Source organism: Homo sapiens, chromosome 1 (genome assembly GCF_000001405.40).
Source record: "Homo sapiens chromosome 1, GRCh38.p14 Primary Assembly".
Classification (NCBI taxonomy): Eukaryota; Metazoa; Chordata; class Mammalia; order Primates; family Hominidae; genus Homo; species Homo sapiens.
The window spans coordinates 54573125-54592419 of record NC_000001.11 but is presented as its reverse complement, the minus strand read 5'-3'; the positions used below and the strand labels follow the sequence as shown (position 1 = coordinate 54592419).

General features: G+C 50.6%; 1 protein-coding gene across 2 annotated transcripts in view, besides 2 other annotated features; it reads right to left on the bottom strand.

The window, feature by feature from the left end:
- ACOT11 (acyl-CoA thioesterase 11) overlaps nucleotides 1-19295 on the bottom strand; it is a 90965-nt gene that overhangs the window by 46773 nt on the left and 24897 nt on the right. For both annotated transcript variants that reach the window (NM_015547.4, NM_147161.4), the window contains exons 2-3: nucleotides 7558-7765; nucleotides 6516-6585 (exon numbers count right to left, since the gene is read on the bottom strand). In NM_015547.4, coding sequence (NP_056362.1) covers nucleotides 6516-6585; nucleotides 7558-7765 — 278 coding nt within the window. The remainder of the gene's footprint in view (nucleotides 1-6515; nucleotides 6586-7557; nucleotides 7766-19295) is intronic.
- Nucleotides 12180-12688: an enhancer, noted in NCBI's record as "H3K27ac-H3K4me1 hESC enhancer chr1:55045405-55045913 (GRCh37/hg19 assembly coordinates)". NCBI's record gives its function as "activates a minimal SCP1, AML or CMV promoter by ChIP-STARR-seq in naive H9 embryonic stem cells {active_cell/tissue: H9 hESC(naive)}" and the evidence as "EXISTENCE:reporter gene assay evidence [ECO:0000049][PMID:30033119]".
- Nucleotides 12689-13199: an enhancer, noted in NCBI's record as "H3K27ac-H3K4me1 hESC enhancer chr1:55044894-55045404 (GRCh37/hg19 assembly coordinates)". NCBI's record gives its function as "activates a minimal SCP1, AML or CMV promoter by ChIP-STARR-seq in naive H9 embryonic stem cells {active_cell/tissue: H9 hESC(naive)}" and the evidence as "EXISTENCE:reporter gene assay evidence [ECO:0000049][PMID:30033119]".

Genomic DNA, 19295 nt, shown 5'->3' with positions numbered 1-19295 from the left:
TCACATCTGCGATACCACCAAGTCCTCAAAGCCAGCTAGCAAGATAGTGTCAGCACCCCACTTTACAGATGGTTAAGCTGAGGCTGAGAGAAGTAGCATGATTGCACTCATCTGCTCCCCCGTTCCCTGATCCCCGTTGTCCAATTAATGCCTGTGCTTCTTTTTGCTCTCGGCTCAATGGTCCCCTCCTCAGGGGACCCCTCGCTGCCCTGCAGTGGCCCACCCACCAACAGAGGCCCTGCAGAGGCTCACCCTGCGGCACTCTCCTGGCAGAGTGACCTCTGTCTCCCACAGTTCTTAAGCTCTACTAGGGTAAGGGTCATGGTTTTGCTCCCCATTGACTCTCCAAGGCCTAGCACATGGCACAGGGTGGGTCTCCCATAAAGGGTAGCTGACTGAATTAATGCATTCTACATGTATTGAATGCCTGGTAAGGGCAAGATGCTATAAACAAAGGGCAAGATGAGAAAAGGAAATGTTTAAAGAATGCCTGCTAGGTGCCAGGCACTGTGCACTGCCATTGGAACCTCAGAATAAGCTTGGCAGGTAGGTTTAGGAGAAACTGAGCATCAGAGAGGTTAAGTCATTTGCCCAAGGTCACCAAGCTAAAAAGTGGCAGAGCCAGACTTCTAGACTGACTCTGTTGACTGCACCAGCCCCTCTTTTCCCAGCTGCAGCCTGTCCTCCTGGAATGATTCCCACATCCATATGAATCCCCAGGGGAGCCACCTAGCCTGGGCTGTGCCTAATGGAGGGGGCAGAGGGTGCCCAGCTGATGGACTGTGGGGAGGAGGGGCAGGAGGCTAAAGGCCGGCCCTGTTCAATTGCTGTGTGATCTCCAGCAGGTCCTTTCACTTCTCTGGGCCTTGGCTCATGAACATGGAGAGTGCCATGCCAACTTCTTTCTCAAATGACACAGTCTTCTGGCCAAGCCTAGGAAGGGTCCATTCCAAGGGGCCTGCTGGTCAAGGGGCCACCGTGAACACAGTGGGAATGGCCACACAGGCCTGGGTTCCAGTCAAGCTCCACCTTAACCATCACACTACAGAGCTGTGTGACCTTGGGTGAGTCACTTTGCCTCTCTGAGTCCATTTCCTTCTGTGTAAAGTACTGCCTGTGGTTCTGAGGGTCAAGTGAGAGAGAATGGGACTGAGCCAAGCGCCAGGCCTGGCCCACAGCCGGAGCTCAATAAATACCACAAGCTCACATTTGCCAGACATTTGTTGATTCCTGTTCATTTTTTTAGTAATACTAATGGTCACGGAGGGGAGGGTCATTTTTAGGAGATTCATGCTGACATAGTGACGGATGAAGCATCACGATGTCTGCAACTCACTTTCAAATCGTTTAGCAGAGAGAGAGAGAGAAAGTGTATATATTATGTCTGTAATCCCAGCATTTAGGGAGGCCAAGGCAGGCAGATCACCTGAGCTCATATGTTCGAGACCAGCCTGGCCAACATGGTGAAACTCTACTAAAAATACAATAAATAAATAAATAAGCTGAGCATGGTAGGGCACACCTATAATTCCAGCTACTTGGGAGGCTGAGTCACAAGAACCGCTTGAACCCAGGAGGCGGAGGTTGCCGTGAGCCAAGATCGCACCACTGCATCCCAGGCTGGGTGACGGAGTGAGACTTTGTCTCTTAACAAGAAAAAAAGTATATGTATTTATTTATTTGTCCATACATAGATACAGCAAATTTAGAAAAATGTTAATTATTGGGTCTCAGTGGTGGTGACCATTGTACTATTCAACTTTTCTATATGTTTGAAAGTTTTCATGATCAAAAATTACGGCAAAAAACTTCTGTGGTCCCCCAGATAAAAATAAAAGTCTATTTTCTGTGGTGCTGAGAGGAATTTGTGATTTTTCCTCCTCTCCCTCCTTCTCTCTCTACCTTCCCCCAAAGCCAAGCAGACACCCATCTGGGTTTCTAAGCTCCTCCTCCTTCCTGACTGCCCTCTGTCCCCACAGCTCTGGCCCAAACCGGATCCTTCCCCAGGGCCACTGCCCAGCCTCCTCAGGGCCCCGGAGCTCCCGGACACCCTTCCAGGTGTTCTTCACAACGCAGACAAGCGACCCCCCATGAACAAATCTGACCCCCATCGAGACCTTCCCTACACCAATTTACTCTCAGGAGACAGAGGAACATGTTAATTGCACCACAGAAATTCAAATAGCAAACCCAGGTGATGAAGGACTCTAGAGGGCACATGGCCAGCTTTCCTCAACAAATATATTTTGAGAGAGAGAGACGGTGCCAGAGAGCTGGTGGAGGATTGGTGGGTATCTACAGAGTTTTTGGGTTTTTTTGTTTTTTTTTTTTTGAGACAGAGTCTCGCTCTATTGCCCAGGCTGGAGTGCTATGGCACTATCTCGGCTCACTGCAAGCTCTGCCTCCTGGGTTCATGCCATTCTCCTGCCTTAGCCTCCGGAGTAGCTGGGACTACAGGCGCTTGCCACCATGCCCGGCGAATTTTTTGTATTTTTAGTAGAGACGGGGTTTCACCGTGTTAGCCAGGATGGTCTGGATCTTATGATCTCATGATCTGTCCACCTCGGCCTCCCTATAGAGAAGCAACCAATTACAATTATTTGCATCCTGACTTGAATAACAAAATAACTGCAGGCTGGGTGTGGTGGCTCATGCTTGTTATCTTAATGCTTTAGAAGGCAGAGGTGGGAGGATCACTTGAAGCTAGGAATTTGAGACCAGCCTGGTCAACATAGCGAGACCTCATCTCTACAAAAAAACAAAATAATAATACAAAATTTAATTAGCCAGGTATGGTGCCACATGTCTGTAGTCCCAGCTACTAGGGAGGCTAAGGTGGAAGGATCGCTTGAGCCCATAAGTTCAGGGCTGCAGTGAGCTATGATGGTGCCACTGCACCCCAGCCTGGGCAACAGAGCAAGACTCCATCTTGAAAAAATAAATAACTGCAAAGCAAACAAAATAAAAACAAATTCATGAGACAGTTTGGGCATTTGAACACTGACTAGTGACGTTAGTGAAAAATTATTGTTAATTTTTTAGATGTGGTAATGATGTTGTGTTTAAAAAGAATCCTTCTCTAAAAAAAAAAAAAAAAAAAAAGGGCCAGGCATGGTGGCTCACACCTGTAATCCCATCACTTTGGGAGGCCAAGGTAAGCAGATCACCTGAGGTCAGGAATTCAAGACCAGCCTGATCAATATGGTGAAACCCCATCTCTAATAAAAATACAAAAATTAGCCCAGCTTGGTTGCCGGCACCTGTAATCCCACCTACTCGGGAGGTTTAGACAGGAGAATTGCTTGAACCTGGGAGGCAGAGGTTGCAGTGAGCCAAAATTGCACCACTGCACTCCGGCCTGGGAGACAGATCATCTCAATAAATAAATAAATAAATATAAAAAGAGTTATTAGCCCTTAGGGATACATTTGGAAATATTCTTAAGTGGCAAAAGCAGAAATAAACAAACAAAAAAACTTCTTAATCTTTCCTCAGGTGTGTCCAGGCCTTCCCTGGCCACCAACCATGCTCCAGGCCCCTCCCCAGCTTGTCCTCCTTCCCGGCATCCTCTCTGGCTTTCCCTTCCAACCACAGCCTCCTCTGCCCAGATTCACCTTCACTCTGCTGAGCCCTGCAGCAGGTCCAGCCATCATGCATGTACCCCTAACCCTCTCTATTCCTTGCTCCCCTAAGTAAAAGAACTTGTGTTGGCTACAGGGACCTGGAGCTGGCCCAGACACAGCTCCACTGGCTTCAAAGTATCACTATACACAGAGCTGACAGTACTGGCAGCTCAAATGCGTCCTCCAGGAAGTCCCCCCTTGACTACCCTCAGTGCCACGACACCTACCCCCAGACATACAGGAAATACAGCCCATTGGTTAAGAGCAAGGGCTCTGGGCCCAGATTGCCTGCCTGGTAGTATATCCTGGGTCCTCCATTAGCTGTACCACCTTCAACAAGGTACTTCATTTCTCTGTGCCTCAGTTTCCTCATCTGTAAAATAAGGATACTAATAGCTATGACCACATAGTATTGTTTTGAGGATCAAATAAGTTAACGTAATTAAAAAGGCATCAAAATAATGTATCAGTATTGGTGCACTAATTGTGACAAAGGTACCCTACAAATGTAAGATGTTAATCATGGGGCACCTGGGTGTGGGGTATATGGGAACTCTCTGTACTATCTTTATTTTTATTTTTTTATTTATCCTGAGACGGGATCTCACTGTGTCACCCAGGTTGGAGTGCAGTGGTGTAATCCTGGCTCACTGCAACCTCCACCTCCCAGGCTCAAGTGATCCTCCCACCTCAGCCTCCCAAGTAGCTGGGACCACAGGCGTATATCACCATGCCTAGCTAATTTTTGGTAGAGACAGGGTTTTGCCATGTTGCCCAGCTAGTCTCAAACTCCTGAGCTCAAGTAATCTGCCTGCCTTGGCCTCCCAAAGTTCTGGAATTGGACACAAGCCACTGCGCCCGGCCTTGTACTATCTTTAGAGATACAATGTTTTTATAAATTTAAAACTATTCTAAAATAAAAGGTATTACAAAGCAGCTGGGCAGGGTGGCTCACGCCTGTAATCCCAGCACTTTGGGAGGCCAAGGCAGGCAGATCACTTGAGGCCAGGAGTTCGAGACCAGCTTGGCCAACATGGTGAAACCCCGTCTCTACTAAAAATACAAAAATTAGCTGGGTGTGGTGTCACGCACCTGTAATCCCAGCTACTCAAGAGGCTGAGGCAGGAGAATCACTTGAACCCAGGAGGTGGAGGTTGCAGTGAGCCAAGATCATCACATCATTGCACTCCAGCCTGGGTGACAGAGCAAGACTCTGTCTCAAAAAAAAAAAAAAAAAAAAAAAAAAGGATTACAAACCAGAGCCTTTTTCTTTTTTGAGATGGAGGCTCGCTCTCTTGCCCAGGTTGGCAGGCTGGAGTGCAGTGGTGCGACCTCAGCTCACCACAACCTCTGCCTCCTGGGTTCAAGCAATTCTCTGCCTCAGCCTCCCGAGTAGCTGGGATTACAGGTGCTCCCCACCACGCCCGGCTAATTTTTTGTATTTTCAGTAGAGACAGGGTTTCACCATGTTGGCCAGGCTGGTCTTGAACTCCTGACCTCGTGATCCACCCGCGTAGGCCCCCCAAAGTGCTGAGATTACAGGCGTGAGCTACCATGCCTGGCCCAGAGCCCATTATTGCACAGAACTTCTCACTGCGAATTGAATGACGTTCCTACATCTGCCTCCCCTGAAGACTGGGAGGTCCGCGGAAGAGGCTGTGCTCCAGTGGACTTTGCATGCCCAGTCTCAGCAAGGCCTCTGGTCTGGAAAAGGTGCTCATCTAATATTAAGTGTGTGGTGAGGGAATGACTGATGACTGAATGAGTGAGTACAGGGACTGGCCAATCTTCTTCCTTAATGGTGACACACTGAGCACCCAGTGAGTCCTGAATAAGCCCTTGGCACTTGATGTCCTAGCTAGTGCTGGTGAGTTTAGGATCAGGCCCAGAGACAAGAGCTCTGTGTGTGGCCCTGCAGCCTGTCCTGGGCTGAGGGCTCAGCCTGCTCCTTGGATCCCAGAAGCAGGATCTATGGGCAAAGCTATGGGGAGGCAAAGCCCAGTGCGTGTGATGAATATTCTTCTATTCTGTACAGCCATTAAAAGAAAGAAAAGAAAAGAAAAGGCCAGGTGTGGTGGCTCACACCCGTAATCCCAGCACTTTGGGAGGCGAGGGCAGGTGGATCACCTAAGATCAGGAGATCGAGACCAGCCTGGCCAACATGGCGAAACCCCGTCTCTACTAAAAATACAAAAAAATTAGCCGGGCCTTGTAGCAGGCACCTGTAATCCCAGCTACTCGTGAGGCTGAGGCACAAGAATTGCTTAAACTCAGGAGGCAGAGATTGCAGTGAACCAAGATCGTGTCATTGTACTCCAGCCTGGGTGACAGAGGGAGACTCCATCTCCAAAAAAAAAGAAAAAAAAAAAAAAGTCTACTTTAGTAATGAGGTAACGAGCTCCTCATCCCTGGAAGGATGTGAGCAGAGGTTGAATGGCCCAAGCTTCTGGCTCCGACTTTGCCAAGGCACCTTGTCTAGGGGGCCTCCCTACAGCCCAATGACCAAGGACCCAAAGAGAATGTCCAAGCTCAAAAAGGCACTCAATGATTAAGTCTAACCCCATCCATTCTGCAGATGAGAAAACTGAGGCTCAGAGAGAGAGACTGACTTCCCCAAAGTCACGCAGCACCCCACTATGCTATCTCGGCCACACCCTGGCTGAGGGAACACCCACCCACCCACCCACTGCACAGAACAGCAGGTCAACTCCTAGCCCCCAGAAACACTGCAGAGGGGTTCACACTTCCCCAGAGGCTGCCCCCACCTCATTTTCAGTCAGTTGAGTCAGGCTCTAGGCAGCACAGACGCTGACCAGGCAGGGAGTCAGGAGGACAGGCCCCAGGCTGATGGGAGGGAGCCCAGAGGACCTTGAGGCAGGAGGGGCCACTTACCTAATGGTGTGCTCAAAATAGATGTCATCCATGGAAGCTGTGACACAGGGGCAGCCAGCGTGCCTCTCCGCTGGTGTCAGCAGAAGAAAGCCAGACATTAGCAGCCTCCCCCGATCACAGGCCTCTGCTCAGATGGCACCTCCTCAGGAGGCTTCTCCAGCCGCCCAAGCCAAGGCCACAACTCCCACCACACCCTGCTGCCACCATTCCTTACACCCCTCACCGTGGGCACCACCCCGACCATCTTCTGTATATCTGCTTTTCGTCTGTCTACTGTCTCTCCCTCCCACTAGATTGTAAATTACTTGAGGACAAGGATTTTTGCCTGTCTTGTTCATTGCTGTACCCCAGTCCTGGAACAGTGCCTGGCACATAGTACACACTCAGTAAGTAGCTGTTGAATGAGTGATCACACCACACTGGCCTGCTTCCCGGCCTTCTGGAGCCCCCGTCCCTTCAACCACCTGTTCCCTGCCTGAGTCATTCTCACTCACCCTCAGGACTCCACTCAGGTGCCTTAGCCCCTCAGGCATCCCTTCCCTGCCCCCAGGCCTGGGTCAGGGCCTCTGAAACAGTGCTGGGGAACAGTCGGGTCACCTGTCTATCCCCCATCCCCACCCTACCAGGCTGTGAGCGCTGTAGGTTGGAGAACACCGGTGCAACAAAAGGAATGAAATGGGCTCAGTCCAGCGCACCTCAACTCAAGGGAAGGAGCGCTGCAGGGCAGGCAGTCAGGGGCTTTGCTCAACAGCATCTCCAAGCCAATCTGAAGCAGCCATGTGGAAGGCTGCACTGTGTTGAGGCAGGGACTTAGGGCCTGGGACCAACACTCAGGGCTGAAGGGGTCTGAGTGAGAGAAAAGTGGGCTGTGCTGAGCATTGAGACATCAGGAAGGGCATTTCAGACAAAGGGACCAGCATGAGCAAAGGCCAAGATGAGAAACAAGTGTGGCACTTAGGGTGGACGGTGACCATCTCTGAAAGCACGGCCCCTGCTCTGGGCCTGTGGGGCAGGTAGGGAACCATGGGGAGCGCAGCCTTACCGGACAGGCAAGCCGTGGTGTCAATCCACTTGAGCAGCTGCCCGACGCTCAGCTCACCACGTTGGTTGGTGTGGCAGGGCAGCACCAGCTGGCTCATCTGCACCTCCGTGGGGTTCCGGTATCCCTCGCCGTCTGCCATGGCACTGTCGTTCCCCGCACGTAAGGCTGACTTCCGGGATGTGCGGTTGGAGAACACAGAGGCCAAGCCCTGGGGTACAGGTGGGGACAGGTGGGGACAGAGAGGTCTGCTTGCTGCAGGGTCTCCCAGGTCTGTCCAGCCCTGAGAACTTAGGGTCTGGGGGAGAGAGAGTACCTAGGGCCACCTCCCACCAGACCCCAACCCGAGAGTGGTCACCACCCTCCAGCCCGTGGTCTCGGACCCCAGGATATCTGTGATTGCTGCTTCTGCCCAGTTTCCTTTTGGCCAAGAACTGCACATGAACACGGCCTTGCACCCGAGTGGGCCAGTGGAGACAAAACCATGCAGAGAAGTCAGTCCTCCTTGCTTCAGCTCCTGGGCCAACTGTTTAAAGTGTTGCCTTAGATTTACGTTCATTCTGGAAAGAGTCGCCTCTCTATGCAGGGAGGCCTAGAGAGCTCCATAGCAGTCAAGCCCAGGGAACTGTTCCTAATACAGTGTTTCAAGAAGCCGCTCTGATTTCATCCCCAAAGGGCTCCTTTCTTGGGCTCCCTCCATCTTCAGAGGCCATCAGGACAGCCTCTGTGGCCCGCTAATGTCTAGCACTTGGATCTATTGACTGGGAGGGCTGTGGGCAGTCACAGACCAGCTGTCTGATCCAGGGCTGGGTACAACAGCTGCCAGCTGGAAAACTGGCTGAGAAAATTCTCCAACTAATGAATTAGAGCTGGGGTTTCTGCTTGGAACCAGCATGTCTTACTCTCCAAGCAGAAGAGGTGGGGTGTGCCCATCAGTCCTTTGGAAGGGAGGAAGAGGAAAGGGGCTAGCAGCCTGCCATCCCTAAGCAGACCATGAGCTCAAGAGCTGGGCACACCTGCATGTGTGAGAAAAATGAGGAGGGACAGGCATATGGGTTCCGATTCTCATGGCCAATGCCAATTGTGTGGTGGTGATGACAGTCGCCACTAATGTTTATATGGCACTTAGGTGTCACATAATTTTACAAGTACTTTATTTGTACTAATCCAATTTTATCCTCCCAACAAACCTATGAGACAGATGCCTTATTATCCTTATCCTACAGATGAGGAGCCCAAGTAAGTGACAAAGCTCAGCTGTGACTCCAGAGGTCTGCTGCAGCCTGAGCTCCTACCCCCGACACTACACTGCTTGCAGGGCCTCCTGGGGCTGAGATGAGGAGTCCAGGGACCTGGGCTTGGCTGTAGTGGCAAAGAGCAGCATGCCCCAATGGTGAGCCTGCCACGGCTGCAGGATGCTGGCAGTGGTAGCTCTTGCACCTGGTGTATACTCCTTAGATAATTCCCCCCAGTGAGCCTCCCATAGCTAATTCAATTTCAAGCACTCCGAGGTGGCTTGTTCAAAGTCACTGACCCCCATGTGGTACAGCCAGGATTTGAACCAGGCCTGTCTGACCCAGAACGGCTTATGGGTTCCCAGAAACACGGCTTATTCCCAAGAGCCCCTGGGTAGGAGGCTGGGCACCAAGGGGAGGCAGGAAGACAGCCATCCCAGGAGCTCTCAGCCAGGGTGGAGGCCTGCAGGGTGCCAGGCTGCCTGGCTTGCGGGCTCTCACAGGTAGCTGGAAGGCCGATGTTGTCCAAGCAGCAGGACCCATCGCCATGGTAACCACTGCCAAGGCACTTCCCGCTTGGTTGTGCGCTGGGGGCCTGCATGGATACGGGTGGCTGGCTTTCGGGGTGTGGGAGTGGGTAGAGGGAGGTGGTAGGCAGGACTCCATTCGTCCACACTCTTCCCAAACCCCTCCCATAGCCAGGGGTATTGGGAAGAAATTCCAGAAAGAAGCCCTAGGGAGAGCTGAGGAAATGGGGAGACAATGCCCACTTGCAGAGGGCAACTGGGCAGAACAAAAGGGGCAGAACAAAAGGGGCAGACTGCCTGGGGTTTCTGGGCAGTCTGGACACACACACAGGGACGCCGACACACAGCACCCCCGCTTTACCAGCCTGGGCACGTCCGCCACTTCTCTGAGCCCTCACGAGGACGAGGGCAAGAACTATTGACCCATTTCACCAACAAGGGAACACGGGCACAGTCCTGGACCAGCAGTCATGATACCTAAGCTCTGGTCCTCTCTCTGCTTCTCACCTGGTCAACCCCTCCTCCCATGCACTCCCGTTTCCTGTTCTGTGAATCAGGAGTCCCTACCTTCCTGTTGGACCCTATGCCACGGGAGCCAGGACCTGTGCCTTGCTCACTGGTTCATTTGTTCATTTGTTCATTCACCAAACACTTCCTCTGTACGGGGCCCTGGGCAAAGATAGAGAATACAAAGACAAATTGGGCCTAGAGGGGCCTGGCACACAGGAGGACATCGTCAAAGGTTTGTGGAGGGACAAACAGAGACGGACTTGAGTTCAAATTCTACCTGTGTCCCTCAAGTGCTGTGTGATCCTGAGCAGGGTCTCCCCCTTCCCAAGCCACATCTGTCACTCACCAAGTAGGACAGAGAATTGCCAGTCCCTAAAGTACCCCTGGTTCCAGGAGTCCAGGGCCTAACTCAGCCTGGGATTTGCATACCCAGCTGAGATTCCCAGGGAGGAAGCTCTAGAACCCTGTCAGAATGGAAATACTGTGCTCCTCTAAGCAGGGCCCCTGAAGCACACTGAGAGACAAGCCTCGCAGTTGCTATCCCCACCACTCCCCTCAAAGAGAGGGGCGCAGAAGCCGTGGGCTGGAGCACAGGCAGCAGGGACAGAGCAGCAGGTGGCCCCAGGCATAGCCTTTCAGACTCCACTCCTTCCTTGGGCTCCAAGGCAGTCTGCCCACATTAGGGCATGCCAGGCCAGGCCTCCTAGTCCCAAGGTGGGCAGGCAGCCAGTCTGGGAGGCAGGGGTGTGTGCAGCCCAGGCAAGTTTTGGCCAATGGGGCTCCAGAGCTGGGCCACTCCTCCCAGGGCCAGTCATAGGGAGAGGAGAGGCCCTGGATAGAGTCAGGGCCTGGGCAGCCAGGCAGGCCGAGCCAAGAGAGCTACCAGGGTGGCGGGGGCTGAACCACTGCAAGGGTAGGAGGACACCCAGAGGTCGGAGATGTGCCCTCTCAGACAGCAGCTGTGCCAAGTGCTGGCCCCAGGCCCTGGCAGACCTGGCCAGACTTGATAATGCTAGACTAGGCCCCAGCTAGCCACACCATGGGCTCTGTGTCCCTCCTCCTGAGCCAGAGTCATGTCACAGACCTGCAGGGTCAGGGCAGGAGAGACCCCCTCACCCAATCCGTTCACAGCCTGGGGGACTAAGGCACAGAGGGAAAAGCTGGCCCAGGGCCACCCAGCTGCGGGGGCCAATATAAGCCCTGCTGGGCCACGGCTCCTTCTAGGCAAGTTGACAACAGACCCACAGGCTACTGGGCCCACAGGCTACTGGGGCTGGAAACAGGCCCAAGGCTTCACCTTGGTTTCCTCCCTCTGCCCAGTATCCAAGTCCCAATGATCCGACCTTAAACAGGCCTCTGATCTAACTCCTTCCAGCCTCCACACAGCACCAGAGGGATCTTTCCAAAAAGCAAATCCAACTCAACAACTACCTTCCTTTCGGGGAGACCTGGTCCTCATAACTCCACCCACCATGGGACTTTGCTCTGCCCCTTAGGAGCACATAGACCTTTCTAAAGAGCAAGCCTCACCAGGCACTTCCCCTGCTCAGGACTCTTCGATGGCTCCCCACTGCTCTCAGGATCAAGAACCAGCCACCGTAGCTCCTGCCACTCACCCCAGCAGCCACTCTCAGCTCCAGACCATATACGTTTCCTTAGAGCACCACTCTCACTCCCGCTGTCTTCCCCCAACATGAAGGTGCCACTTCCACCTAGAATCCGTTTATCTGCGCCTGTCTGCTAGGTGAGCTCTTCCTCATCCTGCATCTCTCTTCCCCAGGGAGAGTTAGAATGCCCCTGCAGCCTCACCATCTCCATCATGGCACTGACCAAGCTGGGTAGTCACTGTCCTCACAGTTGCCACCCCCATCAGACAGATGCTTCCACGGGACAGGGACACGTGCCTGGCACAGATTTGGGGCTAAATAAATGCCCATGGAAGAGAGAAAGGAAAAGACTAATGGTCTGAGAGCTGAGACTCACAGTGGGAGGAAGGTCTGAGGTACAGAGAGGCCATAAGGAACAGCAAAAAGGAGAAACAGAACGGCTGTGGTTCAGGTGACAGGAATGTCAGGGCAAAGGGTTCAGGTGATGTGAACACTGGGGCAAATGAGAGCAGGTGGGAAAATGCTCTACATACCTGGATGGGTGGAGACAGAGGAAGAGGGGCTTGGGGGCCAGGCCAAGAAGTCCCCAGAAACGATGGAAGACTTCTGGAGAAGGTATGCCCTAAAGTGATAAGCCAGCTGAGATCACAGTGCCTGCAGACCCCAACTGGAGCAACAGGCCTGGTGCAAAGGAGACCTACCTGCCCTGAAGGGGAAGAGCACGCCTGGGTGACCTCTGGAGTAACCCACCCTGACACAGGCTGTGCACAGGCCTTGGGGGTCAGCCTAGCTTGGGTTCAAGTCCAATTCCACAACTAACGTTGATAACCTTGAGCAAGCTGCTACACCTCTATGGGTCTCGGTTTCCTGTCTATAAAAATGGGATTATTATACTCACTTCCAAGAATCATCATAGGGAGGAAATTAAACAACACCAAGTATATGAAGCTCCTGGCACACATATACCCTGTGGCTAACATGTATTGAGTGCTTACTATTAGCATTATAAAGTTGGTGCTTTCTACAGAAATACAGCTGGGAGGGACCCAAACATAGTTCAAAGTGGACTGTTTCCACAGTGCTTTCTACCCATGAGCTCTCCAGAGTCTCACAGCAACCCTGTGCAGGGCAAGATTACGAGCTTGTTTGAGAGGTTCTGTGAGAATTCAAAAAGCCAGTGATTATGGAGCAGGGCTTCAAACCCAGGGTGCAAAACTGCAAAGCCCCTGTTCCTCCCACTCTCCCGCCCCTGCCTCTCACAAGGTACTGGAAGGTGGGCCCCAGGGGCGGGCAGGGAGAAGAGGCCTTGCACCCACTCCAGAGTTGTGGGCCAGGCCCCATGAAAGGCCCCATTGTCTGAACCAGGTCACTCTAAGCAGTATGAGGGAGCTGACTAAATTCCATGCTCTGTCCCCACAAAGGTGGCCCCAGCCCCTTCCCTCTCCCCCAGCCTCTCAGAGAAACCCAAGGGCAGCCTCCTGGTGCTTTCCCCACCAACAAGGCAGGAGTATTCCTGCCTGTCAACATTCCAAAGCTCCTCTTTTGGCCTATTCCCTGCCTTCTTCCCAAAAAAGGCTCTGAGGCAGCCTACACACATACCCGGGACACACACAGGATGCACGTGCACTAGGAACCAAAATACAAACAAATAAAGTTAAGGAACCAAATAAGAGAGGAGAGGATTGTTAGGAATCCAGATGCTGCCAAAGAGAGCTGCATGGGCCTTGAGGTTCCCAGCAGACAAGAAAAAAAAAGGGTAGTAGTGGTGGGCAGCAAACTCATGGGTAAAATAGGGAGCATACGTCCTCAAAGCTAGCCCCAGGGCTGGGAGGAAGGATACCAGGAGGCTGTTCCTCAGGCTTCTGATTGTCATACAATATCAGATCATATCTTCATTCTAGAAGACAAACGATGGTCCCAATGTCCTATCAAACATCTTAATTTTCCTTTAGCTACTAAGTGTGTTCACACTTGACATTCTTCAAGATTTGGGAGTTGGAAAGGTAGAGAATTGAACCAATATTTTTATGAAGCATCTCCTATATGTATTCATTTGGTGAACAGTTATTGAATGCCTACTAAGTCTCAGGTCCTATGCTAGCAGTTCTCATACGTATTACCCTAGCAATTCTTTTTTTTTTCAAGATCATAAATTAAATATTTTATTTTTACAAGTAAAAATAAAAATTAAAAAAATAAACATTCCTCTTTGGGCTTCCAAATGGTAGGTGCTTCTTTCACTAATACCACAATATGCTTGTTGTTCATTCTCCTTTCTATCACACTGATTTTGCATGCAAGGAAAGGAGGCCTGGATAGAGGTCATAATAAAAATAAAATAAAATAAAATAAACTTTCTCCTCCTAAATCTGAAGCCCTGGTAAGCATCCCAGAATGTGGAGCAGAATCTGAAAATCTTCACTAAGAGGTTATTCAGGTCATGGACTGTCATCTGCCTGTGAATCTGCATTTAGAAAGATGATCTCTTTTCCTGAGAATCTGTGGCAGACAGGAGTTAACCTAAAAGGCTTGAGGTTTATCCATAGTGCTGGCGTGGTCAGTCAGTCAAGTAGTGTGATGCTTTTCAGGGGGTGGGGCCTGCACTGCCATAGGTGTCTTGGTTTGTCCAGGAGATGCAGGTCCTTTCACAAGGTTCCCATCAGCAATAAGAGACTGGAGACACTCATTCCAACATTGCATGGAGAGAGCTGTGTCTTGCTGACCCAGACCCTGCCATTGCTGTTTAGGGTCACCAGGCTGAGGCTGAGCCAGATTCTTAACGGGCAGCAAGCACAGCCAGGCCAATGTGTTTGTTCCCCTTGTCACTTTGGCATCTTCCTTGGTATGGGGGTCAGAAAGGAGTCTGCATATGTGACAGCCTCACTCATAGAACTGGCACTATTGACACAGGACTTCTAAGTGTCAAAGGAAGGTGAGAGCTCTCCCTGCACAGCCTGGGTAGGGGGAAGCATCATGACCCCTGGTGCCTGGCTCATGCAGCCCCGAGAGGGATCCTAAGGAACCAAGGACATGTAGAATGGGAGAAAAGCCAGTACACAGGGCTTTTTGGTACTGAAAAACTTGGAAGGAGGAACAGGACCAGAGCTGCATGGGGCAGCGCACAAGCGGCTTTGCTCCAGCCTCACAGTCATGTGAGGTCTCTGGCCTGGGCCTGCTGCCAGGAAATTCACGGGACCTGTGTACATTACTGGTGGGAATGTAAAATGGTTGAGTCGCCATGAAAAACAGTTTAGCAGTTCTTCAAAAAGTTAAACACAGAAATACCATATGACCCAGCAATTCCACTCCTAGTTATATACCCAAAAGAACTAAAACAAGTACAAATACATGCACATACACGTTCATAGCAGCACTATTCACAGCAAGCAAAAGGTAGAAACAGCTCAAATATCCATTAATAAATGAATAAATTGTAATATATATGTATGTATATAGATATATATGTATATCTGTATATGTATCTTTATCAAATGAATGGTTATTCAGACATAAACATAAATGAAGTACTGATACATGCTAAAACATAGATGAATTTCAAAAAGATATACTAAGTGAAACATACCAGAAACAAAAAGTCACATATTGTATGTATCCATATTAGCGGATAAATCTATAGAAACAAAAAGCTGATTGGTGGTTGCCGGGGCTGGGGGCAGAGGGAATGGGGAAAAACTACCTAATGAGTAAGGGATTGTAGTACTTTAGTGTGATGGAAATTTTCAGAGCTAGACAGAGGTGGTGGTTGTACAACACCGTGAATGTGCCAAAAACCATGGAACTGGTCACTTTAAAATGGTTAAGTTTACATTATGTGAATTTTACTTCAATAATTAATTTTTTTTAATTATTGAGAGAAAACATCTTTGGCAAAAATCAAGTCAATCTGCTAATTTAAATTAAATAAGATGTGAAATGCCAGCTATATTTTAAGGGGAAGATATGGTGAAAGCAGAAAGCAGAGTGTATAGCCTGATCTCTGGCACATGGTAAGTGATTATAAAAAGGTGAGTTTTATTATTAGATGTCTGGGCCTTAGTTTCCTCATCTGTCAAATGGGGCATTTAACCAGAGAGTCTCCAAGATTCTTTCCAATCCTGAAAGGGTTTGGCTTATAGGAAGAACTCCTTATTAACAAGGTCTCTGAGGCCCTTCATGGGCCACCCCTGCCCACACCTCCAGTCTCGCCCACACCTCCAGTCTCGCTCACACTGAAGCCATCCTCACAAAATTAATCAAGCTAAATTGCTAAGTTTTTAACAAAAGCATAAGCTGTAAGTAAAAGCATAGCTAAGCATTAACCGGCTTGCCCTATAGCCCACTTTCTTATAGCTGCTTATTGCTTAAAAGTCACACAGCCCCTGCCACAGGGTCCTAACTTTTCCAGATAACATCTTTAACATTAAAAAAACCTCAAGGTTTCTATTTTGAGATATTTACAAAATTCTGCTTTGCTTTTTTTTTTTTTTTTTTTTTTAGATCTTGCTCTGTCACCTAGGCTGGAGTGCAGTGGGGGTGACCTCAGCTCACTGCAGCCTCCACCTCCCAGGCTCCAGTGATCCTCCCACCTCAGCCTCCAGAGTTGCTGGGACCACAGGCATGTGCCACCCAGCTAATTTTTTGTTGCCAAGGCTGGTCTGGAGCTCCTGACCTCAAGCCATCTGCCCACCTCAGCCTCCCAAAGTGCTGGGATTATAGGCGTGAGCCACTGCACCCGGCCCCAAATCCTGCATTTCAGTGGGTCCACCAACACCTGTCAGTCTAAAGCCTCCTTCCAAAGAGACAACTCAACACAAGAATGTAGTTTCTTCCTCTCCCTGTCCCATGACTCCACCCCTCACTCCTCGGCCAATCAGCAACCCCCAGCTCCTTCAAATTCCCTTAAAAACCCCAGTCTGAGAAACTCCCCAGGGAGGTGGATTTGAGGTTCTCTCCCACCTCCTTGTTTGGCTGCCTTTTGATTATGAAACTTTCTCTGCCTCAGTTCCTGCTGTTTTGGTGCATTGCTCCATTACTGCACACACAACAGACATGAACCTTGTGGTCCTATATAGCACCATGGCGTGACCCAGTCACACTGGCTTTCTTTCAGGTCCTCATGTGCAGCTTGCCATCTCCCAGCACTGGGCCTTTGCCCGTGCCACTCCCTCTGCCTGGAACACTTGTCCTGCTCCGCCATCTCTGTAATGCTCCTTATCCCTCAGCACCCCGGGCACCCGTGTACCTCACTTCTGCAGTGCTCTCCATTGTGACAAGGTTCAATTAATTGTGGGAGAATTTGATTGACACCAGACCATGAAGATCTACTATGCAGAAACTCTTTCTACTTCTGGTATCTCCAGGGCCCAGAGGGGACAGAGCCTGGCTCGCTGTGGACCAAATGCATGAGATTTTTTTCAGTGCGTTCCGAATTCTCCCTAGTGTCACCCCACACAGGCAGGGAGAATATGGACCTTGAGGTCAGACAAGGTTCTCCGCTAGAGGCCCTGCTCCCATCCCTGCCCCCTCACCCCATTCTAGAACTGTCAGTCCAAATGTCACCTGCCTCCCTCCACCCCCAAGGGTAAAAATAACCTTGTCTGAAATCTGACACCTACCCTCTGTGGGTCATCTTGAGAATTGCCCCTGTCCCAGAGGTGACCACCAGGGGCCTGGGGGAGTAGGGAGGGCATTTCCTGAATGCTTTCCCATTCACATCTCATTTGACCCATAAGCAAATATGTGAGGTGCTATCACTGGTGAGGTACATAGGGATCCCGCACTCAGAGACATCTCAAGTCCTGCCTAAGGTGCCCAGCCAGAGCTCGAGCACAGCCCTTTCCTCGGCACCACGAGGTGAATAGGGCTTTGAAGACACCTGCTTGCTTGTATGGGTGGAGAAACTGAGCCCCAGGGGGCTCTCTGTCTAAGGTCTTCAGTCAAAGGGCTTAGTTAGGCAGACTTTGGGCAAGTTATTGAGAAGCTGTTTCCTCCTTGGTTAAAGAAAGACAAGCACTCCCACCCAGCTCCATGAATTGCTGCATGTGGATGAAAGGAGAGAAGCTAAAGGCACCTGGCTAACTGTGCAGTTTTGTGCACGTGTGAGGAAGCGGTGTCAAGGAGGCTGGAGAGGATGCAGCAGCTGGGCTGGATGGGGACTTGTCTTTCCTAAACAACCAGACTCTAGCAGCGTTTGTTCTCACTTTGGGAAACAGAAATGTGGAAAGAGGGTTTGCTGGTGGACAGTGGGTTCTTGAGACAGGTAGATTGCATTTGAATCCCGGCCCCACCCTCAGTACAGGGAGCGGGGTGGGGATGATGGGGAGGTCTCTGGGCAACTTGCTTCCCCTCTCTCCATTCATTCATTCAACAAGTGAGCACCCCCCACAGACCGGTTTCCTCATCTGTAAAATGGGAATCCCAAATACTTTGTAGATTGTTGTGAGGTGCAAAGGAGGGAACACATGAACAGCTTTGTAAGTTGCCATGGTCCTGCCTTCCTTTTATGCCAGCACTTACTGAGAGACTGAGTCAGGCCTGCAGGGAGTGGGGAGCGTGGGCAAGCCTGAGCCGCGCCCTCACAGAGCCAAGGTCTAGATAGGGAGACAGCCGCTGAACATGAAGTTCCCTAGGAGATCTGCTACACCGAGGGGCAGCTGGGCTGCAGAGTGTGAGCAGAGTCTGACCCTGTGTGCAGATGGACAGGAACCTGCAGGACAGGGGCCAGGCTGGGTGGGCCGGGGTTCAGCTCCTCCGTATTGTTTGGGCGCTGTCCCTGCCTTATGCCCAAAACTAACAACCTAACAGGAGCAAGTGTTTCAACCTCTCCGGACTCAGCTTCCTCAGTTTATAAAACCGAAAGTGGTGGGCGGCAGGTAAGATTGAGAACAATCATTCTTCCTTGTATATTTAATTAATGTGGCCAAGCACTGTAATGAACTATTTTTTTTTTTTTTTTTTGAGATGGAGTTTCGCTCTTGTTGCCCAGGCTGGAGTGCAATGGCACAATCTTGGCTCACCACAACCTCCACCTCCTGGGTTCAAGCGATTCTCCTGCCACAGCCTCCTGAGTAGCTGGGATTACAGGCATGCGCCATCACGCCCGGCTAATTTTTTGTATTTAGTAGAGACGGGTTTTCACCATGTTCATCAGGCTGGTCTCAAACTCCTGACCTCAGGTAATCCACCTGCCTCGGCCTCCCAAAGTGCTAGGATTGCAGGTGTGAGTCACCGCCCAGCCACATTTTTTTATTTCTTTTGAGAGAGTTTCACTCTGTCACCCAGGCTGGAATGCAGCGGTGTGATCTTGGCTCACTGCAACCTCCACCTCCGGGGTTCAAGCTATTCTCCTGCCTCTGCCTCCCAAGTAGCTGGGATTACAGGTGTGTGCCACCATGCCTGGATACTTTTTGTATTTTTAGTAGAGATGGGGTTTCACCATGTTGGCCAGGGTGATCTCGAACTCCTAGCCTCAAGTGATCCTCCTGCCTTGGCCTCCCAAAGTGCTGGGATTACAGGCGTGAGCCACTGTGCCCAGCCTGTACTGAATATTTTTACACATTATCTCTTTTAATCATCACACAGCCTTAATACCTGAATGTTGTTATTATTCCCATTTTACAGATGGGGAAACAAAGTCTCAGAAAAGGTAACTTGCACATATATGCACACAAAATCACACAGCCAGGAAAGGGCAGAGCTGAGACATCAACCCAAGTCTGCTTACCGCAAAAGCTAAGACTGCTTGACCACTTTGTACAACTGCTTCTCTCTCATCTGGCAGGCAGGACAGTTGCTGCTGCATCCCAGGCATCTGTGACATCCACCGGCTCTTCCTTAACCAGACATGCTAGGCCAGGACCCAT